General features: G+C 50.5%; 1 pseudogene across 1 annotated transcript in view; it reads right to left on the bottom strand.

Moving 5' to 3' along the window:
• Window positions 1-19,017, bottom strand: part of PKD1L2 (polycystin 1 like 2 (gene/pseudogene)) — a 119,520-nt pseudogene that overhangs the window by 65,925 nt on the left and 34,578 nt on the right. The window contains exons 11-18 of the transcript NR_126532.3: window positions 18,693-18,900; window positions 14,352-14,472; window positions 12,846-12,987; window positions 11,008-11,184; window positions 8,806-8,951; window positions 7,921-8,115; window positions 4,144-4,275; window positions 1,120-1,302 (exon numbers count right to left, since the gene is read on the bottom strand). The product of NR_126532.3 is annotated as a polycystin 1 like 2 (gene/pseudogene), transcript variant 1, non-coding (transcript). The remainder of the gene's footprint in view (window positions 1-1,119; window positions 1,303-4,143; window positions 4,276-7,920; window positions 8,116-8,805; window positions 8,952-11,007; window positions 11,185-12,845; window positions 12,988-14,351; window positions 14,473-18,692; window positions 18,901-19,017) is intronic.

Here is a 19,017-nt window from a genome sequence, read left to right on the forward strand (position 1 = left end):
CCTGTGTGAAGATGCGTGTGTGTAAATGTGCATCTGTGTGCAAAAGTGTGTGCTTGAGGCCGTGTGAGTATGAGGTCCTCTCAGTGTGTGTGTGAGCTTGCACATGAGTGTGAGTGTGGCCATGTGTTTTTGTGTGTGTTTGTGGAGATTGAGTGTGTCTGAGCATGTGCGTGTGTGCATCCACGCATCTTTGCGTGTTGTGTGTCTTTCAGTTCTTCCTGAATGGAGGTGATGGCCCCATGTGATCAAGAACCATGCAACAGCAAGAAATGGGTTTTGTGGCTCTGTCATGATGCCATCTAGGAGGCTATGTCCCCACCAGGATGCTGGGGCCACGTGACACAGTGCTACACCTATTCTTACTCTGGGCAGCTGCCTCTCTTCTGTGTTCTTGGTAAAATGAGCCACAAGTTTACCCAGACCTGCTAGTGGGTCCATATGATCTCTCCAGTTGGCAGCTTATTTGGGATGAGGCAGAGTGCCTTGATTTACACATAAGGAAATGAGGCTTAGGTAAGCTCTGTAACTTGCCCAGGTCACAAGCCTCCTAAGCGACAGAGGCAGGATTCAAACTCAGACCGTCTCATTCCAGAGCCTGTGATTTGGCCACCACTCCACACTGCCTCCCAGAAGCCCTGCTCTCTGGAAATTTTCTCTTTTTTTCTTTCTTTTTTTTTTTTTGAGAAGGAGTTTCACTCTTGTTGCCCAGGCTGGAGTGCAATGGCGCGATCTTGGCTCACTGCAACCTCCGCCTCCCAGGTTCAAGCAATTCTGCAGCCTCAGCCTCCCGAGTAGCTGGGATTACAGGCGCCGGCCATCACGCCCGGCTAATTTTGTATTTTTAGTAGAGACGGGGTTTCTCCATGTTGAGGCTGGTCTTGAACTCCTGACCTCAGGTGATCCTCCTGCCTTCGCCTCCCAAAGTGCTGGGATTACAGGCTTGAGCCACCGCGCCCGGCATGCTCTCTGGAAATTTTCTTCCACCTCCCAGGGCAACACCTTAACCTCTGTGCCGCACTTTCCTCATCTGCAAGATGGGGGGGGAAAGTTCCACCTAGAAAAGCTGATGTGACTAAGCATTCAGTGTGTGTGAGGTCTGCATCTGGCCTGGACACCCACCTGGCTGCTGCTGGCCTCCGCAGGCTCTTCTGGTCTGTTGCTCAGGGAAGCTTCCAGCACACTGCCCACAGCCTGAAACAGGTCCCTGGTGGCTGCCTGGCGCCTCTGGTCCTCAGGGCGGGCCTTGGCACTCACTGTCAACAGGGCCTCACTGGCATGCTGTAGAGCCAAGCTGGCCTCCCACTGGGTTCACCCAAATAAGGAAAAGCGATGTGAGCCTCTGCTTAAGATAGACCATTCCTGTGTCATTCAAGGGACAAGGGAAGCAAGGAGGGGAACAAGCCAGGAAAGAGCTGGGCTAGACCTGGCACACGAGCTCCCTGTATCTCCGGCTTGAGACCAGGGCCTCCCACCTTACAGTCCTCTGAGATCCTCTAGGAGAGTAGCCTGGTCTGCCTCTGAATCCTTCCCAGAACGCCCTGCACAGTGCCCAGCACATAGCAGGTCTTCAAGAACATTCAATGACTAGGGGACGGATGGATGGATGGATGGATGGATGGATGGATGGATGGATGGATAAATGAAGGGTGGATAGGCAGTTTGATAAATGGATGTATGGATGATAGGTGGATGGGTGGAAAATGGATGGATGGAGGATGAATGAATGAATGGGTGGATGGAGGATGAATGGGTGATGAATGGATGGATGGATGGGTGGGTGGATGGATGGTAGATGGATGGATGGGTGGATGGTGGGTGGATGGATGAATGGTGGGGGGGTGGATGGATGGAGAATGAAGGATGGATAAGTGGGTGGATAGATGGATGGATGACAGGTGGATGGATGAATGGGTGGAAGATGAATGGATGGAGGATGGATGAATGATGGATGAATAGATGGGTGGATGGTAGATGAATGAATAGGTGGATGGTTGCGTGGGTGGGTGGGCGGATGGATTCAGTACATATTCAAATTTTGTAGTTTTCTATGTATTTTTGAAATTATTTGTCTAATGTCTGGCTGTCTCAGTAATCTGAAAGGACCGTAATGGCAGATGCCATGTCTACATGATTTGCTGCTGAATTCTCAATGCGTTGCACATTACCTGGCACATACTTGACATTCAGGAAGCATTTGTTAAATGAATGATGAAATTAATGCATGCATGAATGGATAGAAGGATAGAGTGGAGGATGTGTACAGGTCCATGTATATACAGTGTATATGCATGTAAATAGATGGATTAGCAAATGGATGTGTAAATGGGAAGTGTCATATCAAGAATTAGCCCCAGAATCAAGACCAGCCTTGCTGGCTTCAGGCTGGAAGATTTTAGGAGCACAACCTCCTACCAGAGTGCGTGGGGCAAAGCCAGGACAGTTCTCTTCTCTTCTGTTTTTTTGTTTGTTTTTGAGATAGATTCTTACTGTTGCCCAGGCTGGAGTGCAGTAGCGCAAGCATGGCTTACTGTAACCTCGAACTCCTGGGCTCAAGTATCCCTTATGCCTCAGCCTCCTGAGTAGCTGGGACTACAGGTATAAGCCAGTATTTAGGTGTTGTTTTTTTTTTTTTTTTTTTTGTAAAGATGTGGTTTCCCTATGTTTCACAGACTGGGCTTGAACTCTACGGATCAAGTGATCCTACTGCCTCAGGCTCCTGAAGTGCTGGGATTACAGGCATGAGCCACTGTGCTGGCCCGCTTTCCCTGTTTTTAGGGCTTCTTTTTATTGTTATTTTTTTTCATAGGGTTTGCTCTGTCTGCCATGCTGGAGTGTAGTGGCACAATCATGGCTCACTGCATCCTCGACCTTCCGGGCTCAATTGATCCTCCCACCTCAACCTCCCAAGTAGCTAGGACTACAGGTGTGTACCATGATGCCCAACCAATTTTGTTTTGCTTTGTTTTTGTTTGTTTGTTTGTTTTTTTGAGATGGAGTCTCTATCACCCAGGCTGGAGTGCAGTGGCACGATCTCGGCTCACTGCAACCCCCACCTCCTGGGTTGAAGCAATTCTCCTGCCTCAGCCTCCCGAGTAGCTGGGACTACAGGCGCACACCACCACGCCCAGCTAATATTTGTATTTTTAGTAGAAATGGGGTTTCACTATGTTGGCCAGGCTGGTCTCAAACTCCTGACCTCAGGCAGTCCACCTGCCTCGGCCTCCCAAAGTGCTGGGATTACAGGCGTGAGCCACCGTGCCCGGCCTTTGTTTTGTTTTTGAAGGGATGAGGTCTCACTATGTTGCCCAGGCTGGTCTCAAACTCCTGGCCTCAAGCGATCCTCCTGCCTCTGCCTCCCAAAATGCTGGGATTACAGACGTCAGCCACCGTGCCTCACCTATGGCTTCTTTTTTAACCCTTGGCTGTCAGAACCCTGGGAACACGGTGTTTTAATTTGAGTTCTCCAAGAAGCAGATCCCAGAGCAAGAATTTGAGAGCAAGTCATTTATTTGGACATGATCCCAAGAAACACTTGTGGGGAGTAGGGGGTGTGAGACAGGGAAGGGTGGAAGCCAGTACAGGAGTGTGATCAAGCCCATTACCTGGGATTCACTCCTGCTTGGGATTATCCATCAAGAGGGGTGAGGTAGCTGGGGTGTTTATAAGCCAGCTTCATTAGTCACTGAACACTGCATGAATTCACAGCCATATGGGCAGGTACAGTAGGCTCTGAGGGTCAGAGAAGACCCCCAGAAGGATAAGGAAGCACAGGAGCTGGCAGCCAGATGTCAGGCTGGCATGTACTGAAGTTGAGAACATGGGCAGTCAGTAGCAGTGTCTGGACTCACATTTGGCCACCCAAATATTAATGAGATTCAGTTACTCCCTCAACTTGCTCACCAGCAGATGCAGGAGTGAGAGTCTGGGCAAACAGGCCCTCTCACCTAGCGTGAGATACATGGGCAGCAGGAGGGGCACCTTCCCATGAATCGCCCATGCAGGACCCCTGGAAAGAAGATGACAGAGGTCTTGGCAGCCCCAAAATAGCCCTGTGACCAAGGGACCCCTTCAACCTATGCTGATCACCCACCTGCTGTGAAGGAGCGTGTCCCATGTTAGCCTCTGTAGATGGGAGCTACTCACCTGGGCCGAGGGTGTGAGTTCCTTACTCCGGCAGGTCACCTCTCTCAGCACCTCGGCCAGCTCCTGCACCCTCTGCACGTCCTCCAAGCCGGTGGTGACTGCAGACAGTGATCCCAGCACATGCTCTCTGACCTTGGCACGGGGGAGAAAGGCAGGGAGAGGAAATGTAATTCTGTGGCTCCATGAAGTAGTGTCAGGAAGATGCAGGGTCAGGAGTGACCAGGGTTATTAGGGGGTTCTTTTTCTTTTCTTTCTTTTTTTTTTTTTTTTTTGAGTCAGAGTCTCGCTCTGTCACCCAGGCTGGAGTACACTGGCATGATCTCGACTCATTGCAACCTCCGCCTCCTGGGTTCGGGCCTCAGCCTCCTGAGTAGCTGGGATTACAGGTGCGCACCACCATCACCAGCTAATTTTTTGTATTTTTAGTAGAGACAGGGTTTTGCCATGTTGGCCAGGCTGGTCTTGAACTTCTGACCTCAAGTGATCCACCTGCCTCAGCCTTCCAAAGTGCAGGTATTACAGGCGTGAGCCACCGCACCTGGCCTCACTGGTGGTTTCTAAAGCCCTGCAGACCTCTGTCTGCCTTGTATGATGTGTGATTAGGCAGATAACAGCCCCCTCAAGATGCCCACATTCACATCCCTGAAACCTGTGAATATGTTACTGAATGTGGCAAAAGGCACTTTGACTAAGTCATTTTGGAGAAGCAATTAAGTTAAAAATTCTGAGATGGAGAGATTATCCGAACAGGTGGGACCAACGTCATCATACGACCCTTCTAAGAGGGAGGTAGGAACGTTAATCAGAACAGGAGATGGGTGATGGAGGCAGGGGTAGGGGGAAGAAAAAGAGAGGGAAAGAGGATGAGGTAAGGGTGGGGAGAGACAGAGGGAGAGGAGAGGACTTTGGAGATGCTGCGTGGCTGGCTTTGAAGATAGGAGTCAAGGAGTGCAGGCGGCCTCTAGAACCCGGAAAAGGCAAGGAATGGCTTCTCTCCTGGAGCCTCCAGGTTTGCAGCTCTGCCATCACCTTACTTTTGGCCTAGTGGACCCCATTTTAAACTTCTGGCCTCCAGAACTATAAAGTGAATAAATGCGTGTTGCGTTAAGCCATGATCTTTGTGGTCATTTGTAACAGCAGCCCTAGCAAACATATATAGGATGTCTCAAGCTTTCTCCAAATCTTCAAATTGAATCTGTAGAATTTGGCACTATTTGAAAATAAATTGTGTCTCAGCGTGGCACCTGTGACCAGAATGGCATGAAATTCAGAAACTGGATGACTGTTGGTCTGGCATGGATGGGAGGTCTCACCGGAGGCTTGGGGTCCCTGTGTGCCTTTGCAGCAGTGGGGACAAGAACCCCCCTACCCAGCCCTCCACTCCTGTCTTGGGCCAGGCCACGGGCTTCAGGGTCAAGTGCTTTCTACACTACAAAGCACTAATGAGGGGCTGGTGAGGGGCTTTGGTAGGAGCAGAGAAAAACTAAGAACATCATTTCAGCACTGCCCAGTAGAACTGTCATTTGTAACTTTATTTAATTTTAATAATGACTTAGATTTAAGCAGCAGCCACTTTTGATGGGGCAGAGACACCGTGGCCTGTTGCTCACACCTGGCTCAGCCTGACAGGCTTTCCCGAAGCTTCCAAGTATGAGTGCATCTGCCATCCATTCCAGGGACAGCCAGGCCTCCATCCCGGCTGTGTCTTGGGTTGAGGAAAGAATAGGTCAGTGTGGCAGGAGACTCTTTGCAGAATATTCCAGAAGGGAAACTCAGATAATGGGTAATCTCACATTTGCTTCTGCAGGCCCTGACCCCATCGTTTGTCACCTACCCTGGGTAAAGATGTCACCGGCTCTGGACCCTCCGGCAAATGGACTCACCCAGCAGGAGCCCAGCAGGGGACGAGATGGCAGGAGGAGAGAGAGCTGGGAGGGGTCATTCTCCTGATGCCCTCGGCCAGGTCACCGGGGGCTGGCCGCCTCATTCTTCAAAAGCCACAGCTCCTACCAGAGAGTCCCTCTGTGGGCAGCCGCCCCCTGGATCCTGCTCACGGCAGGCCGGGCCTCTGGGGTCCTCCACGCTGTCTAGTTTGTTCCCTAAGCCCTGCACACACCTGTCTCAACAGAGCCCTTGTTAACATCTTCTCAGCTTCCCAGTGAGAGTTTGACATCTGTCTTGTGCCAGGCCCCGGGCATTTCATGGGGAGACCTTGGGTTAGGCTGTGTGGTCTGTGTGCTTGGGGACCACAGGATGTCCAGGGGAAGCTTCCCATTGGTACTTCTCAGAGTGAATGTGACCAAGAATGAGAGCTGTGTGTGTGTGAAAGTGTGTGAGTGTGTATGTATGTGTATGTGTGAAAGCATAATTGTGTGTGGGAGTATGTGTGTGTGTGACAGCGTGTCAGTGTATGTGTGTGAGCATGTGTGTGAGTTTGTGTGTGCATGTGTATGTGTGTATATGAGTGTGTGTGTGTGAGCATCTGTCAGTGTGTGTATGTGTGTGAGTATGAGTCATATGAGTGAGTGTGTGAGCATGTATGTATATGCGTATAAGTGTGTGAGTATGTGTGTGGGAGTATGTGAATGTGTTTGTGAGTGTGTGTGTGTGAACATGTTTGAGTGTGTGTGTGTGCATAAGAGTGTGTGTGAAAGTGTGTATGTATGATGTGTGAGAGCTAATGTGTATGTATGTGGCAGGGGGTCTGGGGTAAGAGGGCTGGAGGTGGAGGGGGAACCTCTAAACTGGGTTTGAACCCAGGCTTCACCACTTACCAGACACAGGGACACAGGCAGGCACCTCTGATTCTCTTACCCTCTGTTTCCTCAGCTGTAACATAGATGGAGGCCTCACCATTTACGTCCCAGGGTTGTAGTGGGGATTACAGATCCATGAAGCCCTAATTCAGGGCCTGGCAGCTCATAGCAGGTGCTTGATACATGTTAGTTTCTCTCGGTAAGCGACCACAATGACAATCCGGCTTCCTGTATTAAGTACCTACCAGGCCTCTAGCACCACACTCAGTACCTTCCTGCAAACCTTTCAGGGAGCCAAGAGAAGTCTTTCTTCTCTTCTCCGTGCCCACAGGGGTGTGTGTGTGGGTGTGTGCATGCACACACACGAACACAAACTCATGTGGCACATGCTGGGAGTGGACACAATCATACGTTCTGCAATAGTTTATCATACTAGGTTGTAACAATGGAACGGCCATTTTTGTAGATTAAAACTGATTGAATGTTGACGGTCTTATCTAGTTTTTTAGTTGCAGTGATCGTAATTCTTATTTAACTCTTACTACAATTGTATGAGGAGACTAGTATTCTTCTATATGGGGAAACTGAGACTTAGAGAGGTTTGGTCCCTGGCCTGTGACAATGCGAATGGTAAGTGACAAAGCCGGGACGCCATCTGTGGTCCAACTCCAAACCGCTACCCATGTGACCGAGGACAGTCCCCTTTCTGCTCTGGGGCTCTGCCTTGTCATCTGAAACATGAAAAGCAGGGGATGATGTGTTCTAAACTCCCCCCATCCCAGAGGCCTGTGCCTCCATGAGGGCCAGCCGAGAAAGCAGGTTACCAAGGAAGAAGGCATTTTCTTCACTTTATGTCACTCACCCAAAAGACCAGAGAGGGAGGTGGTGTCAGCCGCTTGGGAGACACCACAGGTTTCTCCCCTGATCCATGAACCTTGATCCACAGCCCAAATGGCCGCACGCAGACCCTGGGGCCCCAGAGGAAGGGAATGAAAGGAGCCCCCCAGCTTCCCACGGGTACCTTCTGTCTGACGTCTATGCTCAGTGACTGTCCTGAGCCCTGGCTTTCATGCTCTTGGTTCAGCATGGAGGACACAGCCTTGGCCAGCTGGAGGAGCTGCTCGGGGCCACCCTCGCCTTGCAGAGCTGTGGGGATTTTCTCTGACACGGCAGCCTGGAATGCTACATCCTCAACACATGTGTCTCCGAGTGCCACCTGTTAGGAAATCAGAAATATGCTCAGAACCTGCTAGGAAGAAGCTGGCCTCTGAAGTCAGGGGTCTTCATGTGGGGTCAGAGAGGCTTGGATGCCTTTGGCCTGGCCTGTGGGCTCTCGAGCACTTCCTGAGGCTGGAGGGCACCCAGACCTGCTCGCACCAGGCAGCTGACAGCCACCCAAACCAAGCCTTGGTTGGCTCCAGCCTGGCGCAAGTCATTGCTCTACCACTGGCCGCCCTCCTCTCTTGGTCTCAACCTCTTCCACCCCCACCTGGCCTCTGACGCTTGAAATCTTCTTGGAATCTTATCCAGGCTCTTCCTTGAGTCCTTGTTGGCTAATCTTGGTCCTACTTCTTCTGAGCTCTCTGAAGGTGCTGGCCTAACTCATGCCAGAGTCATTCTCCAACCCCCCTCACCCACCCACCAGCTCCCAGGACCCTCCCCCTATTCTGGCCACTAAATCATAACATCTACAAAGGTAGAGACCATGTCTGTTGTGTCCCTGGCTATACCCCCAGGACGTGGCCCAGGGTAGATGCTCTGTAAATATTTGTGGAAGGAATGGATGAATCACTGACTTATCTGGCTATGCCCCTGGCTATCTTCCATCCGGCCATCCTTTTAGTGAGGTTCATATGGGTGGAGAATTTTTCTCAGTAAAGAAACAGTGACCACTGCCACCACCTACCTTAGCCATGGCCTGGGTCTGCTGCGTGTCCCCTGCACGATTGGTGGCAGAAATAACTACTGTCAGCACAAAGTCATTGTTCTCCTCTCCAAGTGGCAGATACACTGATGGGAGGGCAGGTTCAGGGCCACAGTGTAGGCAGGAACCTGGCAAAACCAGAAATTGACCGATGAGGGGGCATCGCTAAGCCCCAGGTAGACTGCAACCCACTCAGGTAGAGGCTGGTGACAGGGACACAAAAGCCACAGCTCTTGAAGGCATGGTAGGCTCTCGGGATTCCACACTTTCAAGTATGAGACAGTCACGTATGCTGATTCACTGTCTTCTCTAAGCAACTGCAGGTTGCTGTAACTTTGGAAAAATTTTACTAAAATCCATAAAAAATTGCAGGAAAAACATCCCATTTACAGTTTTTTTTTTAAAAAAAGTCAAGGTGGTAAACCAAATTATAAGAGGAAGAAAAAGAAGGAGGAGGAGGAGGAGGAGCAACAATGACAACTTAAAACTTAGCTCAGGGGCGAGGAGTTCAAGACCAGCCTGGGCAAATTAGGAAGACGTTGTTTCTACAAAAAAAAGTAAAAATTAGGTCTCGAACTCCTGACCTCAGGTGATCCACCCACCTTAGCCTCCCAAAGTTCCTGGGATGACTGACATGAGCCACCACGCCCAGCCTGGGACTCGTTTTTATGTAGCCACACTTTCCTGCCTCCGTGCTCACTTGGATGATGGGGGAGAGGTACTAAAGAGGAATAGCCTATTGGAATTAGGGCAGCTGTCCTGGCCTTTCCCTCTGGCGGGACGCAGTTTGAAATAACATCCACTTACCTTGCTTGAACTTTTTCCTTTCAGACTCAGCCCCATTCACAGCCCTCTTAACGGTGATGCATTTCCACATCTATTAGACAGGGCGCTCGTGAAAACTACACTCTCTTAGGTATTACAATAGCTGACGTGCACTTTCCCTAATCAAGGTGTAGTGTTTATGCCGTTGTGATGTTTGATGCTGGATTTGGGGGACCATCCTGGCAACACTACTGGTGGCTGACTTTGGTGGAAATTTACAATCTGATTAGAGCATTTTCAGAGCACAGAATGACAAAGCTCTCCCGGGCGTGTGGCTTACATCTGTAATCCCAGCACTTTGGGAGGCCGAGGCAGGCAGATCACCTGAGGTCAGGAGTTTGAGACTAGCCGGGCTAACATAGTGAAACCCCATCTCTACTAAAAATACAAAAATTAGCCGGGTGTGGTGGCGGGCACCTGTAATCTCAGCTACTCGGGAAGCTGAGGCAAGAGAATCGCTTGAACCCGGGAGGCTGAGGTTGCAGTGGGCCGAGATCGTGCCACCACACTCCAGCCTTGGCAACAAGGCAAAACTCTGTCTCAAAAAAAAAAAAAAAAAAAGAAGAAGCCAAAGCCCAGTGGGTGGAGATCAGGGCTCAGATGAGCCCTCCAAGGACCAATCACTCTCCAAATGGAAGAATAAATGCAATGTGAGTGGCTCCCTCATCTCTCCTGCTAATGCCCTGTGGCTGTCCTGGGGTGTGAGTGGTTAGGGTGAAAGCAGGGAGACTGTGTAGGGTTTTATGCATTGTGGATGGGGTCTTCCATGTTTGTCACCTGTACACCTTTGCAAAAATGTTCTTTCAGTTCAGCTAGTCCTGCAATTATCACCCATTCCCTGGGGCTGCTTGCAAAGCAGCGTCAATGAAATTGTTGAAGATTCTGTTAACCAGACCCATCTCTGTCTTCCTGAATAGCTCCAGGCTTCTGGGAGTCCCAGCTACTACAAGTGTGTGTGTGTGTGTGTGTGTGTGTGTGTGTGTGTGTGTGTGTGTGTGTGTGTGTGTGTGTGTGTGGTGAGCAGGGGTTGGGGGATGGTGTCTTGGTGGTGGCCCCACATGGTCATACTTTTGGGTATCCTCGTTCATTTCACTCCATCACTGTCCCCCACGCCAGGGCAATGGATTTTGGCTTCCAGTTGTGGAAGAGCTATTGATGAGACCTTCTTCTCATGTCTCTGTGGACTGATGGCTGAGTCAGTGTCTTGAGGCTAGGGGTTGAGGTTTAGGGGAGCCCTCATCCTACCAACCTCTCTCGCACACGGAACATATTCTTTGCAGCTCCCAGAGAGAACAGGCCCCTGTTCTGCAAGAAGATGAGCCCAGGAGCTGAGGGAAGAGCAGAGTCTTCAGCCGGTACCTGATTCCAGACAGAAGCAGAACTCCAGGGGTCCCAGGGCTGTGGAGGCGTTGCAGAAGATGGCAAAGCTCGTCAGAACGGTGCCCTCCTCTGGGGCAATAGTGCAGGCAGGCACCTCACGGGGAGGCACAGTGCTGATCACATAGGTGTCCTCCCCATAGGCATGCCTGGTCAGTGCTGGGAGTAAAGAGAGATCATGTTCAGGGGGCCACGTGGGGCCCACAAACTCCATCCTGCTGTTAGATTGCCCCCTGAGCTCATTAAACACAAAGATTCTTGGGCTCTACTTCAAACCCAGAACTTCAGACATCTCTGGATCTGGGAAGAGCCCAGAAATGTACATATCTAACAATTAAACAATGAAACCCCAAAACAACTCCCCCTGATGCAAGGGATCCCAGGGCCTCACTTTGAGAAACTGGGCAGAGATAGGGGAAGATAATTAGACAGACCTGAGCTTGAATTTTAGTTCTGCCATTTGTTAACCGAGTGACCTCAGACTTGACCTTTTCTTTTCCAATTTTGTTTTCCTAATTTTTTTTCTTTTTAGAGATAGGGTCTTGCACTGTCACCTAGGCTAGAGTCCAGTGGTGCAATCATAACTTACTATAGCCTTGAACTCCTACACTTAAGTGATTCCACTGCCTTGGCCTCTCGAGTCAGCTAGAACCACAGGAGTACACCATTACGGCTGGCTAATTTTCTAATTTTTGTAGAGACAGGGTCTCGCTCTGTTGCCAGGGCTGGTCTTGAACTCCTGGCCTCAAGGGATCCTCCCGCCTCAGCCTCCCAAAGTGCTGGGATTACAGGCATAAGCCACTGGACCCGGGCTGAGAACTTGACCTTTTTGAGAGTCAGTTCCTCATCTGTAGAATGAGGCTGATGATAATAGCTTCCGCACAAAGATCTTGTGAGGTGGGAGTATGCTGGGAAAATGCTCAAGATCACAGAGCCAGGAAAGACCAGAACCAGGATCCGGAAACAGGCTGAGCCCACCCCGAAGCCCACACTCTTCCCAGGCGCCGAGATCACTGTTAAGAGCCACGAGTGGACCTGCAGTCACATCCCACATCACCTGGAGTAGCCACCTACATTTTCAGAGAGCGCATGCCTGGAAGAGCTGGGCATAAAGAGAATTTGAACCCATAAAAACTCATTCCTTGGCCTAGACCCAATTCGGAAAGTTTGGGGTGGACCCAAGAGTGTGCATGTTTAACTAATTCCTTGTTTATCCTGATGTGCATGGTCTGTGGGCCACTTCGGGAAAAATGGAAGCAAAGCAATCCTTCCTAAAAAGAATCATCACCTCCATTGTTTGTGTGTTTGAGAATCTATGTTTCTCACACAGGGCTTGTTTTAAACGAGAAGCCCTGAACAATCCTGGCAGGGTGTACAGGTTGCACGACCCCAGAATGACCTGCTTGTAACACTGGGGTTATCTCATTCATCCTGCAAAATAACCATTCTGAGGCAGGCATTTCGATTATCCCAGTTTATATGTCAGGAAACTGAGGCATAGAGAGGCGAAATCCTCTGCCTAGAGTCTCCCACGTAGAAAGCGGAAGTGGTGCGATTTACACCAGAGCCTGCGCTGTGGCCTCTGCACTAAGCTGATGCCCTGGCTGGGTATGGTGACTCACAGCTGCCATCCCAGCACTTCAGGAGGCTGGGACAGGAGGATCGTTTGGCTCCAGGAGTTCAGGACCAGACTGGGCAACATAGTGAGATCACATCTCTCTATTTCAATATTTAAAAGAAAAATAAACTGACACCCAATATCTGAGTGTTTCTGGGTTTATCTGGGTTCCCTGAGAGGAGATAAAAGGGAGGTTTCGCACCTGTGGCTCTGATTCGGATGACCTCTCCCCGGGACTGCAGAAACGAGCTGTTCAACAGCAACGTGGAGGTGTTGCTCTGGAGGAGGGTTAAGGACCTTGGCCAAAATCCTCTGAGTCTGCAGGCATCCAGGAGGGGCTCAGCCTGAAAGACAGGATGGCCCAGGGCTGCTGACGCTACAGCCAGGCCACAGGACTGCAGCAGGACAGTGGCTTCTGGGTGCTAGACAGCCTTTCAGATTTATTACTGATGAACGGAGGACAGGCAGCCCCAGCTCCCCAAGAAGTCACCTGGAATATACACTTTCCAGCCTCACTGCGGTGTCTGTCTTAGATTGGGCTCCCCGGAAGCAGAGCCTGAGATGGGGATTTGTGTGCAGGTTATTTATTTGTTTATTTTTGAGCCAGGCACAGTGGCTCACACCTCTAATCCCAGCACTTTGGGAGGCTGAGGTGGGTGGATCATCTGAGCTCAGGAGTTCAAGACCAGCCTGGCCAACATGGGGAAACTCTGTCTCTACTAAAAATACGAAAATCAGCCGGGCATGGTGTTATGTGCCTGTAATCCTGGCTACTTGGGAGGCTGAGGCAGGAGAATTGCTTGAACCCAGGAGGCAGAGGTTGCAGTGAGCTGAGATTGTGTCATTGTACTCCAGCCTGGGTGACAGAGTGAGACTCTGTCTCAAAAAAAAAAAAAAATTAAAAAGAAAATATTTTTGAGACGGAGTCTCACTCTGCTGCCCAGGCTAGAGTGCAGTGTATGATCTCTGTGCACTGCAACCTCTGCCTCCCAGGTTCAAGTCATTCTCCTGCCTCGGCCTCCCAAGTAGATAGAATTATAGGCACGCATCACCATACCCCGCTAATGTTTTCGTATTTTTAGTAGAGACGGGGTTTCACCATGTTGGCCAGGCTGGTCTCAAACCCCTGACCTCAGGTGATCTGCCTGCCTCGGCCTCCCAAAGTGTTGGGATTAAAGGCTTGAGCCACCATATCCAGCCTTGTGTGCAGGTTATTGATGGAAGGAGGATTCACAGGGAAAAGCAGTGCAGAGAGGGAAACAGCAGAGAACAAAACAAGGCAAAAAACAGTTACTGGAGGCATCCAGCCTCTGCCTGGTCACACGGAGAGCCCTGAAGTGTAAGTTGCACAACTGAAATCACCCTACCTGGGGACAGAGAAGCTGGGCTATTAGACCCTCCACCCATCAGTCGTTGGCCAATGGTCAGGCCACAAAAGCTGGAGTTAGGATCGTCCGCCTGGGAAGCAGGACTTTTGCTGAGATGCCAAGAGCACCCGCTGCAAAGTTTCTCCAGAGCTTATGCTCCTTTGTGCCCATTTGCCCTGCTGTCAATTCCCTGATTTTCTCCCCAGCCCAATACCCTGAGTCCCACACCACAGGCTCTGAATGGAATTGACCCAACCCTGGCCCAGTACCGGGCATGCGACACGGGTGTGCTGAAAGCGCAAGGGAGATTTCCATTCTTGAGTGGTTGTCACTGTGCTCACCTGCTCTGTTGGGGTGTTGTCCAAATACCAGCTGAACATAGCCACTGGAGAGTCCTCCCCCATGGTGACCCTGAGCAGAATGTCTTTGCTGGCATTAACTGGCCTGCAGTTCCTCTCACAGCTGAAAGGCAGACAGAGGACAGAGTGAGGAAGCTCCCCGAGGCATTGCTATCATCTGGATGTTTGTCCCCTGAAACCTCATGTTGAAATATGATCCCCAATGTTGGAGGCGGGGCTTCATGGGAGGTGTTTGGGTCATGGGGTTGGATTCCTCATGACTGGATGAATGCCTCCCTCGGGAGCGAGTTCTTGCTCTATTAGTCACCACCGGAGCTGGTTGCTAAAAAGATGGCCGGGAGCAGTGGCTCACGTCTGTAATCCCAGCACTTTGAGAGGCCCAGGCGGGCAGATCATGTGAGGTTAGGAGTTTGAGACCAGCCTGGCCAACATGGTGAAACCCTGTCTCTACTAAAAATACAAAAATTAGTGGGATGTGGTGGTGGGTGCCTGTAGTCCCAGCTACTCGGGAGTCTGAGGCAGGAGAATCATTTGAACCAGGGAGATGGAGGTTGCAGTGAGCCAAGATCACACCACTGCACTCCAACCTGGGTGACAGAGTAACACTCCATCTCCAAAAAAAAAAAAAAAAAAAAAGAGCCTGGCACCTCCCACCCTTCTCTGCACACACCAGGTCCCCTTCATCTTTCACTGTAAGTGGAAGCAGCCTGAGGCCCTTATCAGATACAGATGTCCAGTCTTGGATTTTCCAACCATAAGAATCATGAGCCAAATAAATCTCTTTTCTTCTTTCTTTTCTTTTTCTTTTCTTTTTTTTTTTTTTTTTGAGACAGAGTCTCGCTCTGTCGCCCAGGCTGCAGTGCAGTGGCGCGATCTTGGCTCACTGCAACCTCTGCCTCCCAGATTCAAGCAATTCTCCTGCCTCAGCCTCCTGAATAGCTGAGATTACAGACAGGCACCACCATACCCAACTAATTTGTATTTTCAGTAGAGACAGCGTTTTGCTGTGTTGGCCTGGCTGGTCTTGAACTCTTGGCTTCAAGTGATCCACCCGCCTCAACCTCCCAAAGTGCTGGGATTACAGGCATGAGCCACTGCGCCCAGCCAACCATTTTTCTGTATAAATTACCTAGCCTCAGATATTCCTTTATAACAATGCAAAATGGGCCGGGCGCGGTGGCTCACACCTGTAATCCCAGCACTTTGGGAGGCCGAGGCTGGTGGATCACGAGGTCAGGAGATCGAGACCATCCTGGCTAACACGGTGAAACCCCGTCTCTACTAAAAATACAAAAAATTAGCCAGGCGTGGTGGCAGGCGCCTGTAGTCCCAGCTACTCGGGAGGCTGAGGCAGGAGAATGGCGTGAACCCGGGAGGCGGAGCTTGCAGTGAGCCGAGATAGCGCCACTGCACTCCGGCCTGGGTGAAAGAGCAAGACTCCGTCTCAAAAAAAAAAAAAAAAAAAAAAAAAATGCAAAACGGACTCAGACAGGCATTGTGACCACTGGCCTGGTCTTTTGTCCAGTCCTTCTCAAGTCCTTTGAGAGGGTAGGAAATGGCCCTTTTTCAAATTAAAGATGGAATAAAAGCCGCCCCTGCCCCAACCAACACTGGGACGTAGCCTTGGTTGTGAAGATGGACTGAGTCATGGCCTGACTGAATTCCCATGTCATTCACTGACAGCGTAATGATACGGAAGGTGAATGAGGCTGAGACAGGACCTGGGTTCTAATCCTGTCCTTGTCACTTATGAAGGGTCACCTTGTGTGCATCACTTAAACTTTTTTTTTTTTTTTTTTTTTTTTTGAGACTGAGTCTCACTCTATCGCCCAGGCTAGAGTGCAGTGGCACGATCTCGGCTCACTACAACCTCCACCTCCTGGTTCAAGAGATTCTCCTGCCTCAGCCTCCCGAGTAGCTGGGATTATAGGCGCTCACCACCATGCCCGGCTAACGTTTGTATTTTTTTAGTAGAGACAGGGTTTCACTGTGTTGGCCAGGCTGGTCTTAAACTCCTGACCTCAGGTGATCCGCCCGCCTCGGCCTCCCAAAGTGCTGGGATTACAGGTATGAGCCACCATGCCCAGCCGAATCACTTAAACTCTCTAAGCCTCAGTTTCCTCACCTGCAAAATGAGGGGATAGCCTAGATAATTTCTGTGATTCTTTTTAGTTCAGATAATAGTAAACTAATGCTGTGGTTCAACAGCACGCCTGCCATGCACACATTACTTCCATTGTCTCTAGCTTGTCCAATGCTCACAATAGCCCTATGAGTGACATATTAGCATCCCCACATCACAGGTGAGCTAACCAGGCCCCGAGAGCTTATGTGATTTGTCCTAAGTGATGTAACTTCTAAGTGGGCAGATAGAATGTGAACCATCGTGTCTGGATCCAAACTCTTGGCCTTCTCTATAATGTCTCTGTGAAGGCCAAAGCAACTCCATTTCAGATGCTAATCTGCCACGTTGACTACTGATTAACCCCAATTCCAGGAATGCCTCTAAGATTTCTATTCTCTCTACAGTTCTTTGTGTAAGAGCATGTACTTACTATGAGTGCTGCCCTGAAAGAGATTCACATAGTATTCTTACCTTTCCCTACGACTGTCCTACACATTCCTTTCCTATGGTATATAAGCCCTGGTTCTGGCGGGTAATGGCGCTGGCTTTCACCATCTTGTCTTGCAGCTGCCCTAGACATCATGGTTTCTGTTCGCAAGTCTCAATTAAATGTTTCTTTCTAAGAAACTAAATTTGTCAGCTTCTTTCTCTGGCCTCTCTGCTTCCTCGAACTTTGCGGGAAGGTTTGCATAGACCTGCCCTCCACAGGACGGTCCCCCAGTTTCCCCTTTGGTCTGAACTTGATGACAGCTCTTGAACTTCCTACTTATCTCCTCATGTCTGCCCTAGTCCAAGTGTGCAGGACATTCTCTATCTGCCTCTCCAATCCAGTCTCCTCCCACGTGCGGCTCTGACCTGGGAGACTGAGCTCTATACACTGCATCACCCAAGCTGCCACACCCTCCAGCTTCTAACTGGGTCCAGCCAATGGGAACCATTGATAGAGGATTGGAGGGTGAGAGGAGAGAGTTTGGGGAATTTATTCACGGCTTTCCCTGCTCTTTTCCCTGATGGGCTGCAGGTGAGAGATGCTGTGCTTCTCCAACCAAGGCCACAGCTCCCTACGTATGTAGTCCTGCCTAATCTTACCTCTGCATTCCTGGGGGTGATAATGGCTTCCCTTGGTTGTAGTCCTGCCTTGTCGCCCCTGCTTCATTGCCTTATACCTGCCCTCACCTGTAAATAGTCCCTTCATCAGCTCTCTTCCATTCATTCCTGGTTTGGCTGAGCCATCAGCTTCCTGCAGGGACTGGCTGATAGTCCAAGCAAACTTGACCTCCTACCTTGACTCCTGCAAGAGCCTGGGCAATCTCCCTGGGTCTTCTCTTGCCCTCTTCCAAGTCATTCTCCACTGAGCCACCAGAGCATATTGAAGTCACATGCTTAGAACTCTTGGTTGCTTGGCTTGGCATGGTGGCTCATTCCTGTAATCCCAGCAATTTGGGAGGCCGAGGCAGGTGGGTCACCTGAGGTGAGGAGTTTGAGACTAGCCTATCCAACATGGTGAAACCCTGCCTCTACAAAAAATACAAAAATTAGCTGCGCACGGTGGCATGTGTGCCTGTAATCCCAGATACTCAGGAGTCTGAGGCACGAGAAATGTTTGAACCTGGGAGGCGGAGGCTGCAGTGAGCTGCGATGGTGCCACTGCACTCCAGCCTGGGTGACAGAGTGAGACTCCATTTCAAAAAAATAAAAATAAAAATAAAGAACTCTTGGGTGGTTTCTCTGTATCACTCTTAGGAAAAAGGCTAAAATCTTGATATGACCGGCAAGGCCCCACTTGAGCCAGGCCCTGCCTACACTACCAGCTCCTTCCCACCCTTCTCTTCTCCATCCTCAGGACATTGGCCTCTTTCGCTCCCTGATGATTCTCTGCTCCCTCCCTTTGCCCGCTCTGTTCCTGCTCCAGCTGCCCCTTCCCTGCCCTGTGAATTTCTCCTGAACACCTCTGCTGAGCTGCAGTTCCTGAGAGAAGTCTCTCTAACCCCAGTCAGGGCAGTTTTCATAGAGGTGCGCTCTCTGCCTTCTTCATTCGTGTCCAGAAGTGCTGATCACCAGGTGGTAGTAACCCCTATGACAACAGAGACCACCACAGCAAGCCTTGCCCCAAGGCAGCCCCAGCCTCAGTGGGTCCTCAGTAAGTGTTGGCTGAACGAATGAATCAGGACCCTGGAGGAACTGCCCACGTGCCCCACCTGACTCGAGGCCTGAGTTCCCAGGGCGCAGACACGTAGAGGCACTGCTCTGCCCTGTTCTCCAGCTCTTGGCCTCTCAGAACAGCCAGGCGCAGGGTGACAGCAGAGTCAGGCGGCGGCAGGCAGGATGCTGGAACCACCAGCTCCCTCTGGTCTGTGCGAAGCAGCTGCCTCTCAACACAGCTGCTCCACAGAGCCCAGCAAGACCCTGAGAGAAATGGACAGACACTATGATCCATCAGGAGCCCTGAACGTGGCACACACTGCTAGCTTCTGGTTTTGAAAGGGGTCATGAATAATAACATCAGCTCTAAATAGACATTTT

This window comes from Homo sapiens, chromosome 16, assembly GCF_000001405.40.
Source record: "Homo sapiens chromosome 16, GRCh38.p14 Primary Assembly".
In the NCBI taxonomy this organism is placed as follows: domain Eukaryota; kingdom Metazoa; phylum Chordata; class Mammalia; order Primates; family Hominidae; genus Homo; species Homo sapiens.